This window comes from Homo sapiens, chromosome 19, assembly GCF_000001405.40.
Source record: "Homo sapiens chromosome 19, GRCh38.p14 Primary Assembly".
Taxonomy (NCBI): domain Eukaryota; kingdom Metazoa; phylum Chordata; class Mammalia; order Primates; family Hominidae; genus Homo; species Homo sapiens.
The window spans coordinates 46,087,585-46,107,969 of NC_000019.10; the positions used below are offsets into that span (position 1 = coordinate 46,087,585).

A 20,385-nucleotide genomic window follows, 5' to 3' on the forward strand; every position below is an offset into this window, starting at 1 on the left:
GCCATGCTACTGGGAACAGTGAGACTGCTTTTAGTGGGAGCAGCGTTAGGCAGGTGGCTGGGGCATGTGTGCTTTGCCTGTGCCTCAACCCTGCAGTAGCCTGCAAGTGGCAGCAGGCAGTGGAATTTGTCCTTGGGGCATGAGAAAATGCATGACTGCCCCTCTACTGATGGGAAAGGGTTGCTGTCATCAGTTTCCACTTTGGTCCTGGCAGTGGGTGGGGAATGTCAGTTGGGCTCCAGGGATATCGGGATGTGAGGGCTGTTTGGCCCAGGGAAGGATGCAGTCTAGTGGAGGTGGAGCTCATACAATGGTGCCTTGATGCAGCTGATTAGGACTTAGGAGTTTGTGGGACTCCATCTCATTGGAGCAATGCCATAGTGCAGTCTCCAGACAGCTCCCTATGTTAGTCTCAGGACCTGTGAGGGCTGAGGGGCTCTCCTGTGGCTAGGACTGTAGGAATCTGTGGTAGAAATGTGGACCACTGGGGGTCTCTCACCATTCGCCCAGTTGATTCTGGCTCGGCAGGCCACTTCACTTTTCTCTCCTTCCTTGCTTTTGGTGCCTCCCATTACTTCTCTGTTGAATTCTAATGTCCTCTTTCAGATGATCTATTTGAAGTGTCATTATCTATGGACTATTTTGTTTCCTCTCCATAAAAGAGGCAAGTACCCAGTGCATCTAGTCAGCTGTGTTAAAGTCTTTCCTTTATTCTGTGTCTTTTGATTGGATAATTTGATCCATTTACATTGTTTATTATTTAAGATAAGGGCTTTTTTTCTGTACTAACTAATGAACCCATATGTTTAATTGTCAGACTTTATTCAGCACCACTGAGTCTCAATATCAAAACAACTAAAATTTAAGACACAACCTTCAATTGTAACATATATATTTACACTTCGTGTTCATTATATTGTTGAATGGTGCCATCATTCATCTACTTGGCTAACTGCTAACCAGAAATTAAAACTCTTCCATTCAGCTTCTTGTCATTGATTTACAAAGATTTATTGAACACTTTCTATATATTAAGAGCTTAATTGTGCACTAGAAATATAAAAATAACAAGATAATATCTGTTCTGGAGTTGAGGCATTTGGGTGACAATAAATGAAGTTACAAAACAATGTGAGAAGAGGCGATGAGAATACAAAGATAAAGACATATCTAGAGCTCTTCTGGAGTGATCATGTCATTTGAGACCTCACAGATGAAGTAATATCATAGCCTACTGTTGTATGTTGATTGGGGTTTGAGAAGATTGAAAAACAAAACAAAACAAGGATGTCCCAGACAGAGGAAATAATCAGCAAAGCTATAAAGGATTGAAATAGGAAAAGGAAGTCATTCTATGAACATGACTGGGTTAAAGGCGCTAATGTAGACTCTGGTAGATCTTAAAAGTTATTTATAGGTAAGGACTTTCTACTGCTATTTTGTTTATTGTTTTATAGATCCTTTGTTTCTTTCTTCCTGTCTTACTGTTCCTTTGTGGTTAAGTGATTCTCTCTAGCAGTATATTTTGATTCCTTACTTTTTATTTTTGTGTTTTTATCTACTATAGGTTTTTGGTTTGTAGTTACCAAAAAAAACTTTATAGTTACAAGAAAACCTTATAGTTATCATATGTTATTTTAAGCTGATAACAACTTTGATAACAAAAAAGCCCACCTCTACACTTTTACTGCTCTGCACCTTGTATTTTGAATTTTGATGTAATCATTTACATCTTTTTATGTCGCATATCTCTTAACAAATTATTGTGATTATTTTTAATAGTTTTTAAACCTTCATGTGAAATACATGTGATTTATACACCACTGTTACAGTATAATTCTAAATTTGACTGTATACTTACTTTTACCAGTGAATTTTGTACTTTCAGATGTTTTTGTGTTACTCATTAGCATTTTTTTCTTTCAGCTTGAAAAACTCCCTTTAGCATTTTTTGTAAGATGGCTCTGGTGGAGGTAAACTCCCCCAGCACTTGTTTGTCTGAGCAAGTCTTATCTCTCCTTCATTTCTGAAGAAGATCCTTTTAGGGTATAGTATTCTTGGTGGTAGGTTTTTTTTTTTCCCTTCTGCACTTTGAACTCTCTCAGGTCTGTAAAGTTTCCGAGAAGTCTGCTGGTGAGCATATTGAAACTCCCTTATATGTTATTTGCTTCTTTTTTCTTGTTGCTTTCAGGATCCTATCTTTGTCTTTGATTTTTGGCAGTTTACTTATAATATGGCTTGGGGTAATCTTATTTGGATTGAATCTGGCTAGAGTCCTTTGACCTTCTTGTACCTGGATATTTACATCTTTCTCCAGGTTTGGAAAACTTTCTGCTATTATTTGTTTAAATAAGCTTTCTACCTCTTGGTCTCCCTCTTTAATTCCAGTGACCCAAACATTTGCTCTTCTGATGCTGTCTCATAAATCCCATAAGCTTTCTTCATTTCTTTTTATTATTTTTTTCTTTTTTCCCCTCTGATGGTACATTTTCAAATAACTTGTCTTCAAGTTCACAGATTCTTTTTTCTACTTGATTAGTTCTGCTGTTTAGACTCTGTATTGCATGTAAAATTTTGTTCATTGTATTTTTCAGCTCTGGGATTTCTGTTTGAGTTTTTTAAAATTATTTCAGTCTTTGCTAAATTTCTTATTCTAGCCACTTACTGTTTTCCTCATTTCTTTGAATTGTTTCTCTGTATTTTCTTTAAGTTTGCTGAGCTTCCTTTAAAAAGTTATTTTGAATTGTTTAGTAAGGAGTTCATATTTATCCATCTCTTTATTGTTAGTCACTGGTGCTTTATTTTGTCTCCCCGCTAATGTCATATTTCTCTGATTGTTCTTGATCTTGTGGCCACACGTCAACATCTGCATATTTTAAGAAGTAGGTACTTATTTCCAGTCTTTGTAAACTGGCTTTGTCTGGGAACGCCCTTCAACAATAAGCCTGTCTAGATAGCCTGGACAGACTGGTGTGATCTCTGTGCCACTGTGGCCATTACAACTCTAGAGGGTGACCTATGCTGGTACGTGATGACAAGCACGTTGCCCGGCTGGAATCTCATGGCTTCTGAGGCTGGCACAGAGCTGGCATATGCCTGAAGCCTGTGGCTGCTGGTGCCTGCCTACTGCCAAGATTTGTCTGTAGCCCAGGGCCCAGGCTAGCAGTGATGCAAACTGTGGATTGAGCTGGCCTTGCAGGGGCTGTGGGTTCCCATCTGGTTCCCGGGCAGCTCTGGAAGCTTAGTCCATAGGTACTGATATGGGTTGAGCGGTTGCAGGGGTCTGCCTAATGCAGGGTTTTACTGTGGAAGATCCAGTATTAGGGTCCAAGGCAAAATTTTGTTTACTTTCCTCTCTTTCCACCAAGCAGACAGTATGTATCTCTCTCTGTGCTATGCTGCCTGGGGTTGAGTGAAGGGTAATTTGGGTGACATAAAATTGTTCTTCCTACTCTCTTCAATGCATCTTTTCTTATTATGCTATAACTAGGTACTGTGATCTCTCACCTGGTTTCCTTAGCTCTTTTGAAGGTATTTTTGTGCATGAATCATTCAAATTGATGTTTCCGTGTGGGCAATGATTACTAGAGAGTCCTAATGCACCATCTTGCTCTGCCCTTCTTCCCAAATGCCTGTAGCCTCATAGAAAAACATTTGTAAGAAGTAGATATCTAGGGAAGGATTCCACTGAGAAGTGGTCCACATTTATGTTTTTAAACAGCACGTTTTAGTGTGAGGAGGCCATTAAGTGGGGATATTTATGAAAGAATATAGGCAAACTGTTACTTAGAATGTCTTCAGTTCTGTAAGGTGCTTGGCATGTAAGGTGCTTGGCCTACATATTTCTTTCAAATTAGTACACAGTCAAAAACTTTAATCAGTATACAAATTATTCTGTTAGAAGAGACACTTGTGTTTTCCATGTTTGTGTTTCTCCTTAGGAGTTGTATTTCTGTTGCTGAGATAACCTATTGTTATATCCTAGTTTATTTATAATATGTTTTGTAAGAAAGACTGATGTCATTCATTGTAGGTGTAAAACAGGCTTACCATGAAATGAAAGCCTTTGTTCAACTTAGAGTCCTAATGTTTCTGATTTCTTACTCTTGTTGCTGATATACAGAAGCAGCTACAAGAGCTGAAAGATGACTGTGCACTTAATGTCTTTAGTTGAAAGAATTATTTAGCTAAAGAAACACAGTCATTAGCTATGGAATTTGAGAGCCTCAACAGTTTCAATGACAAATACAAAAGCATTTTTAAAAAATGAACTCAAACAGCATGATAAATTTTTATATAAAAATAAAGTTTCAATTTATTTTTTAATGCCTTTCTGAATTACTGGTTAAACTAAAATCTATAAAAATGCAATGCATTAAGTGTATATACCATAATCAAAAGTTTGAAGTGTCACATTTCTTCTATAATGGGGAGAAATTAATCACATTTGGTAAACATTTTTTACGTTCAAACCTGGATTTCAAGATAAGTTAAATAATTACTTTCATTCACTGTCAAGGCTCTTTCTTGATTCACATTTTGAGGTTGTTTCTTTTCTTAATGCAATACTAACTTTGTGTTGTTGTTTGTTAGAGATTGGGGTCTTGTTCTGTCACCTAGGCTGGCCTGCAGTGGTGTGGTGATGGCTCACTGCACCCTCAAACTCCTGGGCTCAAGCGATTCTTCTGCCTCAGTCCCCTGAGTATCTGGGACTACAGGCACACAGCACCACTCCTGGCTAATTAAAAAAAATTTTTTTTTTTTGGCCAGCCACAGTGGCTCACACCTGTAATCCCAGCACGTTGGGAGGCTGAGACAGGTGGATCACTTGAGGTTGGGAGTTTGAGACCAGTCTGGTCAACATGGTAAAACCCTGCCTGTACCAAAAAATACAAAAATTAGCTGGGCTTGGTGATGTGCGCTGGTAGTCCCAGCTACTCAGGAGGCTAAGGTGGGAGAATCACTTGAACCTGAGCGGCTGAGGCTGCAGTGAGCTGAGATTGCACCACTGTACTCTAGTACTCCAGCCTGGGTGACAGAGTGAGACCCTGTCTCAAAAAAAAAATTTTTTTTTTTTGTAGAGATGGGATCTCACTGTGTTGCCTAGGCTTGTCTTGAACTCCTGGCCTCAAGTTATCCTCCTGCCTCAGCCTCCCAAAGTGCCAGGATTACAGGTGTGAGCCATCATGCCTGTCTGTAATACCTAATTTTTGACCATTTATTGAAATTGTTATTTTATCAGATAATCTAAGTTATAATGTAGTTGATCTTTTAAAAGGGCATACTGTCTCTCTAAGTAGAAATGGCTCCAAAATGTTTTTGGGAAGTTTGATACTTTTATATACAAGGTAGCCTTAACCAGAAAAGTGACAATTTAAAATTGACAAAATGATATTTTTAAGACTTCAAAATGATAAATAATTTTTAACTATTAAAGTTCGCCTCAAGCTAATAAACTTAAGTCTGTAAGGAAATTAAAATTAAATATTAGTTTAATAACAACTAAATATTTAGTAGAAGTTGCCTCTCTTTATTGGTGATTTATTTTTAATTATAAAATTTTTGAAGATCTTTGCTTAAAGACCTTGATATTTGAAATAGTTGGACACTTGATGAGGAAATTGCCTTTATGATTATGAAAATCTCAGCTTTATAAAATGCATCTGTTAATAAAGATAATTTCTCTAATGGTGATCAAAATATAAAACTTAAGACATTAATATCTCACTGGAAGTGTATATGGGTTTCTGAGTAATTAAAACATTCATAAGCAGAATAAAATGCATTCTCAGAAAACTAGAAATATCAGGGACCTTGCTTAACTTTGTAAAAGACATCTACAAAAATCCTACAGCTAATGTCATATTTAATGGTAAAGATGGAATGTTTTCCTCCTAAGGTCGGGAACAAGGCAAGGGAGTCTATTTTCACTACTTCTATTCATCTTTGTCCTGGAAGTCCTAGCTAGTGTAATGAGGCAAAAACGCATGCAGATTGGAAAATAAGTGATGAACTGTCTATTTACAGACATTATTGCCGATGTAGAAAATCCCAAGGAGTCTATAAAGAATTCATAGGACAAATAAATTAGGTTAGCAAGTTCACAGACTACCAAGTCAATTAATATAAAATAATAAAATGTATTTCTGTAGACTATAAACAATAGTCTATGGCACAATTCAAATTTGAATTGTTCACTGTCTGTCTGTTTGAACAATTCAAATTTGAAATTAAAAGCAATTTAAAATTGTATCAAAAATTAAATATCTAGGCCTGAATCAAACAAAATATGTGTGGATCTGTATGCATGAAAGTTAAAAAACTGATGACATAAAGATCTAAATAAAAGGAGAGATATACTGTAGCCATGGACTGGAAGACTCATTGTTAGATGTCAGTATTCTTCACCTTGATATGTACATTCAAAGCAAACTTAACAGCCTTGGAGGATTTTTTTTTTTTTTTTTTTTTGCCAGGGGTAGGGGGTCAGTATTGTAAAGCTGATTCTAAAATGTGTAAGGAAAGGCCAAAGAACTAGAATAGCTAAGACAATTTTGTAAAAGAAGAGCAAAGTTTAGGGACCTGATTCTGAGGCTTTTTATAAAGGTGTAGTAATCAAGACAGTATCTTATTGGTGAATGGAAGAACATATAGATTGATGGAATGTAATGGAATATCCAGAAATAGACCCACACAAAAATGGCCAATTGAGTTTTACTTTTTATCAAAAGTAAGAAAACTTATTTTGCAGAGGGGTTGGTTTTAAAAAAATATTTAGATTGATTTTATTGGATAAGCAATGTATGAATATATATGTCCTATTCAAAATGATAGAAGTCTATAGAGCTGAAAGTGAAAGTCTCCATTACCTCACCCCAATCTGTTTTTGTTGTGCTGTAATTTTGTTTTTTTCTTTTTCTTTTTTTTTTGTGTGTTTTTAAATTTTATTGTATTTTAAGTTCTGGGATACATGTTCAGGACATGCAGGTTTGTCACACAGGTAAACGTGTGCCATGGTGGTTTGCTGCACCTATCAACCCATCACCTAGTATTAAGCCCTGCATGCGTTAGCTATTTATCCTGATGCTTTCCCCTCCCCTGCCCCCACTGACAGGCCCCAGTGTGTGTTGTTCCCCTCTCTGTGTCCATGTGTTCTAATTGTTCAGCTCTCACTTACAAGTGAGAACATGCAGTATTTGGTTTTCTGTTCCTGTGTTAGTTTGCTGAGGATAATGGCTTCCAGCTTCATCTATGTCCCTGCAAAGGACATGATCTCATTCCTTTTTATGGCTACATAGTATTCCATGGTGTATATGTGCCATGTTTTCTTTGTCTAGTCTATCGTTGATGGGCATTTGGGCTGATTCCATGTCTTTGCTATTGTGAGTAGTGCTGCAGTAAACATACATGTGCATGTATCTTTATAATAGAATGATTTATATTCCTTTGTGTATATACCCAGTAATGGGAATGCTGGGTCAAATGGTATTTCTGGTTCTTGATCCTTGAGGAATTGCCACTGTTTTCTACAATGGTTGAACTAATTTACATTCCCACCAACAGTATAAAAGCATTCCTGTTTCTCCACAGCCTTGCCAGCAACTGTTGTTTCTTGACTTTTTAAATAATCACCATTCTGACTGGCATGAGATAGTATCTTGTTGTGATTTTGATTTGCATTTCTCTAATGATCAGTGATGTTGAGCTTTTTTCCATATGTTTGTGTGTCACATAAATGTCTTCTTTTGAGAAGTGTCTGTTTATATCCTTTGCCTACTTTTTGATGGGTTGTTTTTTTTTCTTGTAAATTTGTTTAAGTTCCTTGTAGATTCTAGATACTAGACCTTTGTCAGATGGATAGATTGCAAAAACATTCTCCCATTCTGCAGGTTGTCTGTTCATGCTGATGATAATTTCTTTTGCTGTGCAGAAACTCTTTAGTTTAATTAGGTGCCATTTGTCAATTTTGCTTTGGTTGCAACTGCTTTTGGTGTTTTGGTCATGAAATCTTTTCCCATGCTTATGTCCTGAATGGTGTTGCCTAGATTTTCTTCTAGGGTTTTTATAGTTTTGGGTTTCACACTTAAGTCTCGAATCCAATCCATCTTGAGTTAATTTTTGTGTAAGATGTAAGGAAGGGGTCCAGTTTCAATTTTCTGCATATGGGTAGCCAGTTTTCCCAGCACCATTTATTAAATAGGGAATCCTTTCCCCATTGCTTGTCTGTGTCAGGTTTGTCAAAGATTAGATGGTTGTAGATGTGTGGACTTATTTTTGAGATCTCTATTCTGTTCCATTGGTCTGTGTGTCTGTTTTGGTACCAGTACCATGCTGTAGCCTTGTCATATAGTTTGAAGTCAGGTAGTGTGATACTTCTAGCTTTGTTCTTTTTGCTTAGGATTGTCTTGGCTATATGGGCTCTTTTTTGGTTCCATATGAATTTTAAAGCAGTTTTTTTCTAATTCTGTGAAGAATGTCAATGGTAGTTTGATGGGAATATCATTGAATCTATAAATTACTTTGGGCAGTATGGCCATTTTCATGATACTGATTCTTCCTATCCACAAGTGTGGAATGTTTTTCTATTTGTTTGTGTCCTCTCTGATTTCCTTGAGCAGTGGTTAGTAGTACTCCTTGAAGGGGTTCTTCACATCCCTTGTTAGCTGTATTTCTAGGTATTTTATTCTCTTTGTAGCAATTGTGAATGGGAGTTCATCCATGATTTGTCTCTCTGCTTGTCTGTTGTTGGTGTATAGGAATGCTTGTGATTTTTGCACAATGATTTTATATCCTGAGACTTTGCTGAAGTTGCTTGTCAGCTTAAGGAGCTTTTGGGCTGAGACAATGGGGTTTTCTAGTTATAGGATCATGTCATCTGCAAACATAGACAATTTGACTTTCTCTCTTCCTATTTGAATACTCTTTATTTCTTTCTCTTGCCTGATTGCCCTGGCCATAGCTTCCAATACTATGTTGAACAGGAGTGGTGAGAGAGGGTATCCTTGTCTTGTGCCAGTTTTCGAAGGGAATACTTCCAGGTTTGCCAATTCAGTATGATATTGGCTGTGGGTTTATCATAAATGGCTCTTATTTTGAGCTATGTTTTATCAATACCTAGTTTACTGAGAGTTTTTTAACATGAAGGGATATTTAATTCTATGAGAGGCGTTTTTCTGCATCTATTGAGATAATTGTGTGGTTTTTGTCATTAGTTCTGTTTATGTGATGAATTACATTTACTGATTTGCATATGTTGAACCAGCCTTGCATCCCATGGATGAAGCCAGCTTGATTGTGGTGGATAAGCTTTCTGATATGCTGCTGGATTTGGTTTGCTAGTATTTTGAGGATTTTTGCGTTGGTATTCATCAGGGATATTGGCCTGAAGTTTTACTTTTTTGTTGTATCTCTGCCAGATTTTGGTATCAGGATGATGCTGGCCTCATAAATGAGTTAGAGAGAAGTCCCTCCTTTTCAATTGTTTGGAATAGTTTCAGAAGAAATGGTACCAGCTCCTCTTTGTACCTCTGGTAGAATTCAGCTGTGAATCCATCTGGTCCTGGGCTTTTTTTGGTTGGTAGACTATTTATTACTGCCTCGACTTCAGAACTTGTTAGTGGTCTATACAGAGATTTGACTTCTTCCTGGTTTAGTGTTGGAAGGGTGTATGTGTCCAGAAATTTGTCCATTTCTTCTAAATTTTCTAGTTTATTTGCGTAGAGGTGTTTATAATGTTTTTCTGATGGCTGTTTGTATTTCTGCAGGGTCAGTGGTGCTATCCTCTTTATCATTTTTTATTGTGTCTGTTTGATTCTTCTCTCTTCTTTTTTAGTCTAGCTAGCAGTCTATTGATTTTATTAATTTCTTTTCAAACCAGCTCCTAGATTCATTGATTTTTTTGGAGAGTTTTTTGTGTCTCTATCTCCTTCAGTTCCATTCTGATCTTGGTTATTTCTTGTGTTCTGTTAGCTTTGGGATTTGTTCTTGGTTTTCTAGTTCTTTTAGTTGCAATATTAGGGTGTCGATTTGAGAGCTTTCTAGCTTTCTGATGTAGGGATTTAGTGCTATAAATTTCCCTCTTAATACTGCTTTAGCTGCATCCCAGAGATTCTGGTACATTGTCTCTTGTTCTCATTGTTTTTAGAGGACTTCTTTACTTCTGTCTTAATTTCATTGTTTACCCAGGAGTCATTCAGGAGAAGGTTGTTGAATTTTCATGTAGTTATGTGGTTTTGAGTGAGTTTTTAAACCTTGAGTTCTAATTTGATTGCACTGTGGTCTGAGAGACTGTTGTGATTTCAGTTCCTTTGCATTTGCTAAAGAGTGTTTTACTTCCAATTATGAGATCAGTTTTTGAGTAAGTGCCATGTGGCACTGAGAAGAATGCTTATTCTGTTGTTTTGGGGTAGAGAGTTCTGTAGATATCTATCAGGTCCACCTGATGCAGAGCTGAGTTCAAGTCCTGAATACCCTTGTTAATTTACTGTCTTAATGATAGTCTGATATTGACAGTGGGTGTTAAAGTCTCCCGCTATTATTGTGTGGGAGTCTAAGTCTCTTTGTAGGTCTCTAAGAGCTTGTTTTATGAATTTGGGTGCTCTTGTATTGGGTGCATATATATTTAGGATTGTTAGCTTTTCTTGCTGTATTGATCCCTTTACGATTATGTAATGCCCTTCTTTGTCTTTTTTGAACCTTGCTGGTTTAAAGTCTGTTTTGTCAGAAACTAGGATTGCAACCCCTGCTTTTTCCTGCTTTTCATTTGCTTGGTAAATTTTCCTTCATCCCTTTATTTTGAGCCTATGTGTATCATTGCATGGAGATGGGCTTCTTGAATCTTGAATACAGCACACCAATGGGTCTTGACTCTTTATCCACATTGCCAATCTGTGTCTTTTTTTTTTTTTTTTTTTGAGATGGAGTCTCGTTCTGCCACCCAGGCTGGAGTGCAGTGGTATGATCTCAGCTCACTGCACTTCTGCCTCTTGGATTCAAGTGATTCTCCTGCGTCAGCCTCCCAAGTAGCTGGGACTACAGGTGCATGCCACCATGCCTGGCTAATTTTTGTATTTTTAGTAGATATGTGGTTTCACCATATTGGTCAGGCTGGTCTCGAACTTCTGACCTCAGGTGATCCACCCGCCTCGGCCTCCCAAAGTACTGGGATTACACAACATGCATGAACCACTGTGCCAGGCCCAATCTGTGTCTTTTAATTGGAGCATTTAGCCCATTTACATTTAAGGTTAATATTGTTATGTGTGTTTGATCCTGTCATCATGATGCTAGCTGGTTATTTTGCAGACTAGTTGATGCAGTTTCTTCATAGTGTCGTTGGTCTTTGTACTTCAGCATGTCTTTGCAGTGGCTGATAGTGGTTTTTCCTTTCCATATTTAGTGCTTCCTTCAGGAGCTCTTGCAAGGCAGGCCTGGTGGTGATGAATTCTCTCAGCATTTGCTTGTCTGAAAAGGATTTTATTTCTCCTTTGCTTATGAAGCTTAGTTTAGCCAAATATGAAATTCTGGGTTGGAAATTATTTTCTTTAAGAATGATGAATATTGGCCTCCACTCTCTTCTGGCTTGTAGGGTTTCTGCTGAGAGGTCCACTGTTAGTCTGATGGGCTTCCCTTTGTAGGTGACCTGGCCTTTCTCTCTGGCTGTTTTAACATTTTTTCCTTCATTACATTCTTGGAGAATCTGATGATTATGTGTCTTTGGGTTGATCTTCTCATGGAGTATCCTACTGGGATTTTCTGGATTTCCTGAATTTGAATGTTGGCCTCTCTTGCTGGGTTGGGGAAGTTCTTCTGGATGATAGCCTGAAGTGTGTTTTTCAACTTGGTTCCTTTCTCCCCATCTCTTTCATGTACTCCTATCAGTCATAGGTTTGGTCTTTTTACATAGTCTCATAGTTCTCGGAGGTTTTGTTTGCTCTTTTTCTTTCTTTCTTTTTTTTTTTTTGAGACGGAGTCTCACTCTGTCACCCAGGCTGGAGTGCAGTGGCACAATCTCAGCTCACTGCAACCTCTGCCCCCCGAGTTCAAGTGATCTCCTGCCTTAGCCTCCCAAGTAGCTGGTATTACAGGCGCCTGCCACTGCGCCTGGCTAATTTTTGTATTTTTAGTAGAAACGGGGTTTCACCATCTTATCCAGGCTGGTCTTGAACTCCTGACCTCGTGATCCACCTGCCTCAGCCTTCCAAAGTGCTGGGATTACAGGGATGAGTCACCGAGCCTGTGCTTGTTCATTCCTTTTCATTCTTTTTTTCTCAGTCTTGTCTGCTTGCCTTATTTCAGCAAGATAGTATTCAAGCTCTGATATTTATCCTTCTGCTTGATACCTGTGTTCGCATCACGAAGTTCTTGTGCTGTGTTCTTCAGCTCCATCGGGTCATTTATGTTCCTCTCTAAACTGGTTATTCTAGTTAGCAGCTCCTATGACCCTTTATCATGGTTCTTGGCTTCTTTGCATTGGGTTAAACATGCTCCTTTAGCTTAGCAAAGTTTATTACCTACTTTCTGAAGCCTTCTGTCAACTCATCCATCTCAGCCTCCACCCAGTTCTGTACCCTTGCTGGAGAGGAGTTGTGATCATTTGGAGGAGGAGAGGCACTCTGGCCTTTTCAGTTTTCAGCGTTTTTTCATTGATTCTTTCTCATCTATATGAGTTTGTCTAGTTTCAATCTTTGAGGCTGCTGACTGTTAATCAAGGAAAATGACAAGAAAAGTCTCAATCATTTTAGGAGATTTATTTGCCAAAGTTAAGGATGCACCCGGGAAACAGGTCTATGCCTTTCTCTGAAGATGATTTTAAGGGCTCCAAATTTAAAGGGGAAAGGGTGGGATATTGAGAAGTATACAGTTTTCATGCAAGTGAATCTGCATTTTTACATACAAGGACATAAAAGGGGCAGAGGAAAAATGTGGGGAATCAGCATTTTACATAAGATAACACAAACAGAATGTGGTAGGGAAACAATCAGATATGCATTAGTGTCTGTGGGCCAGGATGACAGCACCTGGAAAGATAAGCTATCAATTTGCATTGCCATGGTGAAGTTTTAACCATTCACTAGGAATATCCTTGTGGGCAAATATGGGGGAGGCATGTAGCTTTTCATCTTGTAGCCATCTTATTTAGGAACTGAAAGTGGGAGGCAAGTTTGCATGACCCAGTTCCCAGCTTGACTCTTCCTTTTAGCCAGATGCATTTGGGGTCCCAAAATTTAATTTCCTTTCAGTGTTTTTTTTCATTCATTCTTTCTCATCTTCATAAGTTTGTCTAGTTTGAGGCTGCTGACCTTTGGATGAAGTTTTTGTGGTGACTTCTTTGTTGATGCTGTTGTTGCTTTCTGTTAGTTTGTTTTTCTTTAACAGTCAGGCCCCTCTTCTGTAGGACTGCTGCAGTTTGCTGAGGGTTCACTTCAGGCCCTATTCACCTGGGTCCCTTCTGCAGCTGGAGATGTCACCCGAGGAAGCTGGAGAACAGCAAAGATGGATGCCTGCTCCTTCCTCTGGGATCTCTGTCCTCGAGGGGCACTGACCTGATGCTGGTAGGAACGCTTCTGTATAAGGTGTCTGGTGACCCCTGGTTGGTGGGGGTCTCACCCAGTCGCGGGGCACAGGATCCGGGACCCACTTAATGAAACACTCTAGTTGTCCCTTGGTGGAGGGGATGTGCTGTGCTGGGGGGAAACCCACTCATCTGGGCTGCCTGGATTCCTCAGAGCTAGTGGAGGAAAGTAAGTCTGCTGGTTTGTGAAGGCCATGGCCACCCCTCCCACTAGGGGCTCAGGCTCAGGGAGATCAGAATCTTTTCCCTAAGGCCCTGGCTGGGGTAGCTGAAGTTCCTGCAGGGAGGCCTCGCCCAGTGAGGAGGGATGGGTCAGGGTCCAGCCTAAAGAGGCAGAGTCCACAATCTGCCACAACTGGTGTGCTCCACTGTGGGGAATACCTTCTGGGTCCAAGACATCCAATCTCCCTGGCACCAGCAGGGGAAAAACGGCAGCCCCGAGCTGTAGTGATGGCTGTTGCCCTTCCCCAGTGGGGGTTCAGCCTTTTAGGCAGCCGCAGTGATGGGAGCTCAGACGTCGTAAGCAGCAGGCAGCTGCAGTTGCAGTGATGATGGCTGGCCCTCCTCCCCAGAACTCGGTAGTCTTAGGCAGACTCCGGCCCAACCGCTGTTGAGACTGTGCAGCTCTGTGGTTGGGACCTAAGGCCCTGGTGGTGTGGGCTCATGAGTGAGATCTCCTGATTCACAGGTTGCACATCCATGAAAAAAGCAGTTTCCAAGGCTAGGTAACATTGAGGTGGGCAAATAAAGAGAGAACGTTAGAGAGAGAAAAATAAGTTTAAAAAAGGCAAGCTTTCTGTACTATGCTGACACATCCCAAGGGCAGTAACAGGCATAGCCTGGACCCAGGTGAGGACCTGATAACATTATCTAAGTGGCTGGAGCTGGAAGGAATGTGCTCTGGAGACTTTCCCAGGGGTAACAAAGAAGTAAATTTTCCCTGTGTCTTTAGCATAAGTAAAAGTCCCTTTGAACCCCCTCCAGTGTGTGATTGTACCCACTCTGCAAGTTTTATGAGGTCCTGTTTTTCTGTAGCTAATTTCATGCGCGCGTCTGTGTGAAGAGATCACCAAACAGGCTTTGTGTAAGCAATAAAGCTTTTTAATCACCTGGGTGCAGGCAGCCTGAGTCCGAAAAGAGAGTCAGCAAAGGGTGGTGGGATTGTCATTAGTTCTTATACGTTTGGGATAGGCGGTGGAGTTAGGAGCAATTTTGTTGCGGGCAGCGGGTGGATCTTACAAAGTATATTCTCAAGGATGTGGAGAATATTACAAAGTACCTTCTTAAGTGTGGGGGAGAATATTACAAAGTACCTTCTTAATGGTGGGGAGGGTGTATAGTACAAAGTACATTCACAAAGGCAAGGGAATATCACAAAGTACATTATTGCGAGGGCGGGGAGGGTGTATTGTCACAAAGTCAATTGATCAGTTAGGGTGGGGCAGGAACAAATCACAACGGTGGAATGTCATCAGTTAAGGCAGGAACTGGCTGTTTTCACTTCTTTTGTGAATCTTAAGTTGCTTCAGGCCATCTGGATGTATATGTGCAGGTCACAGGGGATATGATGGCTTAGATTCAGCTGAGAGACCTGACATTTCTGTCTTCTTATATTAATAAGAAAAATAGAACAAAATAGCGGTGAAGTGTTGGGGCGGCAAAATATTTTTGGGGGTGGTATGGAGAGATAATGGGCAATTTTTCTCATGGCTGCTTTGAGCAGGATTAGGGGCAGCATGGGAACCTGGAGTGGGAAAGATTAAAGAAAGATTTTGGGGTAAGGGGTGATATTGTGGGTTTATTAGAAGGAACATTTGTCATATAGAATGGTGATGGCCTGGATGCAGTTTTGTATGAATTGAGAAACTAAACAGAAGACACAAGGTCCAAATAAGAGAAGGAGAAAAACAGATATTAAAAGACTAAGAAATGGGAGGACCCAGGACATCCAATTAGAGAGTGCCCAAGGGGGTTCAGTGTAATTATTTGCTTGGTTGGTGAGTTTTTGGGCTCAATCCTTGAGTTTTTGATGTTGTCATATACCAGGCCAGATTGATTTAGGTAAAAGCAACACTCTTCTTTTAAAAAATATACAGAGTCCCCTTTTTTTTTAGCAGTAAGTCAAAGCCTCGGCGATTTTGGAGGAAAAAGAAATGCAAAGCCAACAATCGTTTGTTAAAGAAGGTTTAGAAACGGCTAGGAGAGAGTGAGTGAGATTGATAGTGTGGTGGAGGTAGCTGGGGAGAGGTAGAGGGTGGCACAAGAACGGGAATGAGAATAAGAGTGAGTGTAAAAGTAAAGAATAGGACTTCATCAGGGTGAAAGTATTGGAGTGTGCCCTGTGAGCAAAGATCATCTATCCACTCCAAGAGGGAGTCAAGAGTGGCGGATTGGGGATAGTACTAGGAGATATCCGCTGTGATGGTTTGGAGGAAAAATGTAAACTGGCAGTGTAAACAGGGGCACGACACTTATGAGTAGTTGAGAATGGTGAATAGGAATATGACTAGACAGAAGATAGTAGGGATGACAAGTTTTTGGGGTGCAATCCAAGTGGGAGGGGTGAATGCGTAAAGCTTTGTTGGGAAGAGTAGGGTAAGGACGAAGAGACCTAATAAAAATGATAGGATGTATTAGGCTTATAAGGGTTACTATTATCATTTAGGAATGCGGGTGAGTTTAAGGGAAGTAGGGTTGAGTACTTGCGACTTCCAGGAGGAAGAGGAGAGATCAGGCTGTCTGTCTGACAGACAAAGCTTTATTCTGGAATGGTGAACCCAATGGGGAGGGTCCTGCAGGCGGACAGCAGTTGGGGTACTAGAGATGACTAAGTAGGGTCCAGTCCATCGAGGTTGTAGAGTTTGAAGGGTCAGATTTTTAACAAGAACTTATCATCCAGCTAGGGTGTCTTCATATGGCTGGGAATCTGGAGTAGGCAAGAGAAGATGAGCAGCCTGGCAAATTTCCTGTCTAGCCTGCTGGAAGACTGGAAGATAGTCGCCTAGAGGGCTGGTGTCTGGGGCAAGGTTGGGTCCGAGCAAGAAAGTGCATCCATATAAAAGTTCAAATGGACTGTACCCTGTAGCATCTCGAGGACAGGCTCTAATTCTGAGAAGGGCAAGAGGTAAAAGTACTGTCCAGTCCTTTTTAAGTTGGAGGCTGAGCTTGGTGAGGTGTGTCTTTAAAAGACCATTAGTCCGTTCTACCTTTCCTGAAGATTGAGGACGGTAAGGGGTATGAAGCTTCCACTGAATAGAGCCTGAGAAACTGCTTGGGTGATTTGACTAATAAAAGCTGGTCTGTGATGAGACTGTATAGAGGTAGGAAGGCCAAACCAAGGAATTATGTCTGGAAAAAGGGAAGAAATGACTGCGGTAGCCTTCTCAGATCCTGTGGGAAAGGCCTCTATCCATCCAGTGAAAGTGTCTACCCAGACCAAGAGGTATTTTAGTTGCCTGACTCAGGGCATGTAAGTAAATCAATTTGCCAGTCCTGGACAGGGGCAAATCCCTGAGCTTGATGTGTAGGGAAGGGAGCGGGCCTGAACAATCCCTGAGTAGTAGTAGAATAGCAGATGGAACACTAAGAAGTGATTTCCTTGAGGATAGATTTCCACGATGGAAAGGAAATGAGAGGTTCTAAGAGGCAGGCTAGTGGCTTGTAACCTACATGGAAGAGGTTCTGAAAAGATGACAGAATAGAATGGGCCTGTGAGGCTGGAAGGAGATATGTTCCTTGGTCCAAGAACCATTTGCCTTGTGTGAGAGGAGATTGATAGGTGGAAGTTACAGTGGGAGAGTAGGTGGGAGTGACTGATGAGAAGGAGAAAAACTGGCCATGAGGGACAGAAGTTGGAATGCTAGCTGCTTCTTCAGCTACCTAATCAGCATAAGCGTTGCCCTAAGCAATGGGATCTGATGCCTTTTGATGGCCCTTGCAGTGAATGACTCCAGCTTCCTTTGGAAGTAAAGCGGCCTTGAGAAGAGTTTTTATTAAAGATGCATTAATGATGGAGGACCCTTGTGTAATGAGGAAACCTCTTTCAGCCCATATAACAGCATGATGGTGCAGGATATGGAAGGCATATTTAGAGTCTGTATAAATATTGATGCGTAGTCCTTTTGCAAGAGTGAGGGCTCGAGTTAAGGCAATGAGTTTGGCTTGCTGAGAGGTAGTGGAGTGGGGCAGAGCAGTAGCCTCAATGATAGATGTGGAAGATACTATAGCATAGCCTGCCTTTGCTAGTGATTGGTGATTAGGCTTGGTGGAACTGCCATCAATAAACCAAGTGTGATCAGGGTGAGGAACAGGAAAGAAGGAAATATGGGGAAATGGAGTGAATACAAGTTAGATCAGAGAGATACAGTTATGGGGGTCAGGTGGGGTATCAGGAATAATGTGGGAGGCTGGATTGAAGTCCGGGCCAGGAACAATGGTAATCGTTGCAGACTCAACAAAGAGTGAATATAGCTGAAGGAGCCAGGGGCAGAAAGTATATGCATCAGGTGTGAGGAAGAAAATAGATTTTGGAAGTTATGAGAACTGTAGGGAGTGAGTTAAGCATAGTTTGTGATTTTGAAGGCCTCTAAAAGTATTAGAGCAGCAGCAGCTGCTGCACACAGAGATGAGGGCTAGTCTAAAACAGTAAGGTCAAGTTGTTTGGACAGAAAGGCTACAGGGTGCAGTCCCAGCTCTTGTGTAAGAATTCTGACTGCACAGCCCTGTACTTCAGCTGTGTGTAATGAAAAGGGTTGGGATGAGTTAGGGAGAGCAGCTTTTAGGGTTGTTTTTTAAGGAATGGAAAGGGGAATGGGGAAAGGATTTAGGATTTATGGGGTCAGCTAAGTTTCCTTTTGTGAGTTTATATAATGGTTTAGTCAGGATGGCAAAACCAGATATCCAAAGGAGAAAGTACCTTAACCATGCCTAGGAAGGAAAGGAGTTGTTGTTTGTAGAAGGGGTTGGGGTTTGGGAGATTAGCCGGACACAATCAGCAGGGAGAGCACGTGTGTTTTTATGAAGAAAGGTGCTGAGATAGGTAACGGATGAGGAAGAAATTTGGGCTTTGGAGGGGGATATGCAATATCCTTTTGAGAATAGATGTTGGAGGAGCAGGAGGGTGCCCTGTTGGGAAGACTTGTAGGGTGGGCTATAAAGGAGAAGGTTGTCAAAATTTTGAATAAGGTGAGAAGCAGATGGACAGAAAGAAAGTAAATCATGAGAAAGGGCTTGACTGAAGTAATGGGGGCTGTCCCTGAAGCCTTGTGGCAGTACAGCCCAGGTAAGTTGCTGGGACTGATGGGTGTCAGGGTCAGTCCAAGTGAAAGTGAAGAGAGGCTGGGATGAAGGGTGTAAAGGAATAGTAAAGAAAGCATGTTTCAGATCCAGAACAGAATAATGGGTTGTGGAGGGAGGTATTGAGGATAGGAGAGTATATGGGTTTGGCACTATGGGGTGGATAGGCAAGACAATTTGGTTGATAAGGCAAAGATCTTGGACCAGCCTGTAAGACTTGTCTGGTTTTTGGACAGGTAGGATAGGAGAGTTGTAAGGAGAGTTTGTAGGCTTTAAGAGGCCATGTTGTAACAGGCTGGTGGTAACAGGCTTTAACCTTTTTAAAGCCTGCTGTGGGATGGGATATTGGCGTTGAGCATGGTAAGGGTGATTAGATTTTAATGGGATGATAAGGGGTGCATGATCAGTCGCCAAGGAGGGAGTAGAGGGATCCCATGCTTGTGGATTAAGGTAGGGAGATACAAGGGGAGGATTCGAAGGAGGCTATGAACTGGGGAAAAGGGTGGCAGTGAGGTGTGGCTGTAGCCCAGGAATAGTCAGGGAAGCAGATAATTTAGTTAAAATGTCTTGACCTAATAAGGTAACTGGGCAAGTGGGGATAACTAAAAAGGAGTGGATAAAAGAATGTTGTCCAAGTTGGCACCAGAGTGGGGGAGTTTTAAGGGGTCTCGCAGCCTGGCCGTCAATACCCACAACAGTTATGGAGGTAAGGGGAACAGGCCCTTGAAAAGAAGGTAATGTGGAGTGGGTAGCCTCCATATTGATCAAGAAGGGGATGGACTTACCCTCCACTGTAAGAGTTACCTAAAGCTGTGATGGTCCAGGAGGTTTCCAAGGTGATCGGGCAGCGTCAGTCTTCAGCCACTAAGCTGAGAAGATCTGGGAAGGAGTCAGTCAGAGAGCCTTGGGCCAGAGTTCCAGGGGCTCTGGGAGTGGCTGCTAGGCGAATTGGACAGTCTGATTTCCAGTGGGGTCCGCACAGATGGGACATGGCTTAGGAGGAATCCCAGGCTGTGGGCATTCGTTGGCCCAGTGGCCAGATTTCCAGCACTTGAAGCAAGATCCTGGGGGAGGAGGTCCTGGAGGAATGCCTGGCTGCTGTGGTTTAGGAGTTTCAAAGTTCTTGTGTGCTAGAAATGTGTGGGTGGGGTTTCTCTCACAGTGGAGGCAAGTAATTGCAACTCAGAAATATGTTGGCACTTGGCTGCCTCTTTTTTATTATTGTACACCTTGAAGGCGAGGTTAATTAAGTTCTTTTGTGGGGTTTGAGGGCCGGAATCTAATTTTTGGAACTTTTTCTAATATCGGGACTGGATTGGATAATAAAATGCATATTGAGAATAAGACAGCCTTCTGGCCCCTCTGGGTCTAGGGCAGTAAAGCATCCAAGGGTTGTTGCCAAATGGGCCATGAACTGGGCTGGGTTTTTATATTTGGTGAAAAAGAGCCTAAATGCTAACTGATTTGGGAAAGGTCTGATAGAGAAAAAGGAGCATTAACCTTGACTATGCCTTTAG

General features: G+C 41.0%; 1 protein-coding gene across 22 annotated transcripts in view; it reads left to right on the forward strand.

Moving 5' to 3' along the window:
• IGFL2 (IGF like family member 2) overlaps positions 1–20,385 on the forward strand; it is a 136,850-nt gene that overhangs the window by 9,072 nt on the left and 107,393 nt on the right. For 3 of the 22 annotated variants that reach the window (XR_001753605.1, XM_047438228.1, XM_024451381.2), the window contains exon 2: positions 13,397–13,553. The exons of the other annotated variants lie outside the window; for them this stretch is intronic. The gene's annotated coding sequence lies outside the window, so the exon portion shown is untranslated. The remainder of the gene's footprint in view (positions 1–13,396; positions 13,554–20,385) is intronic. 22 annotated transcript variants of the gene reach the window in all.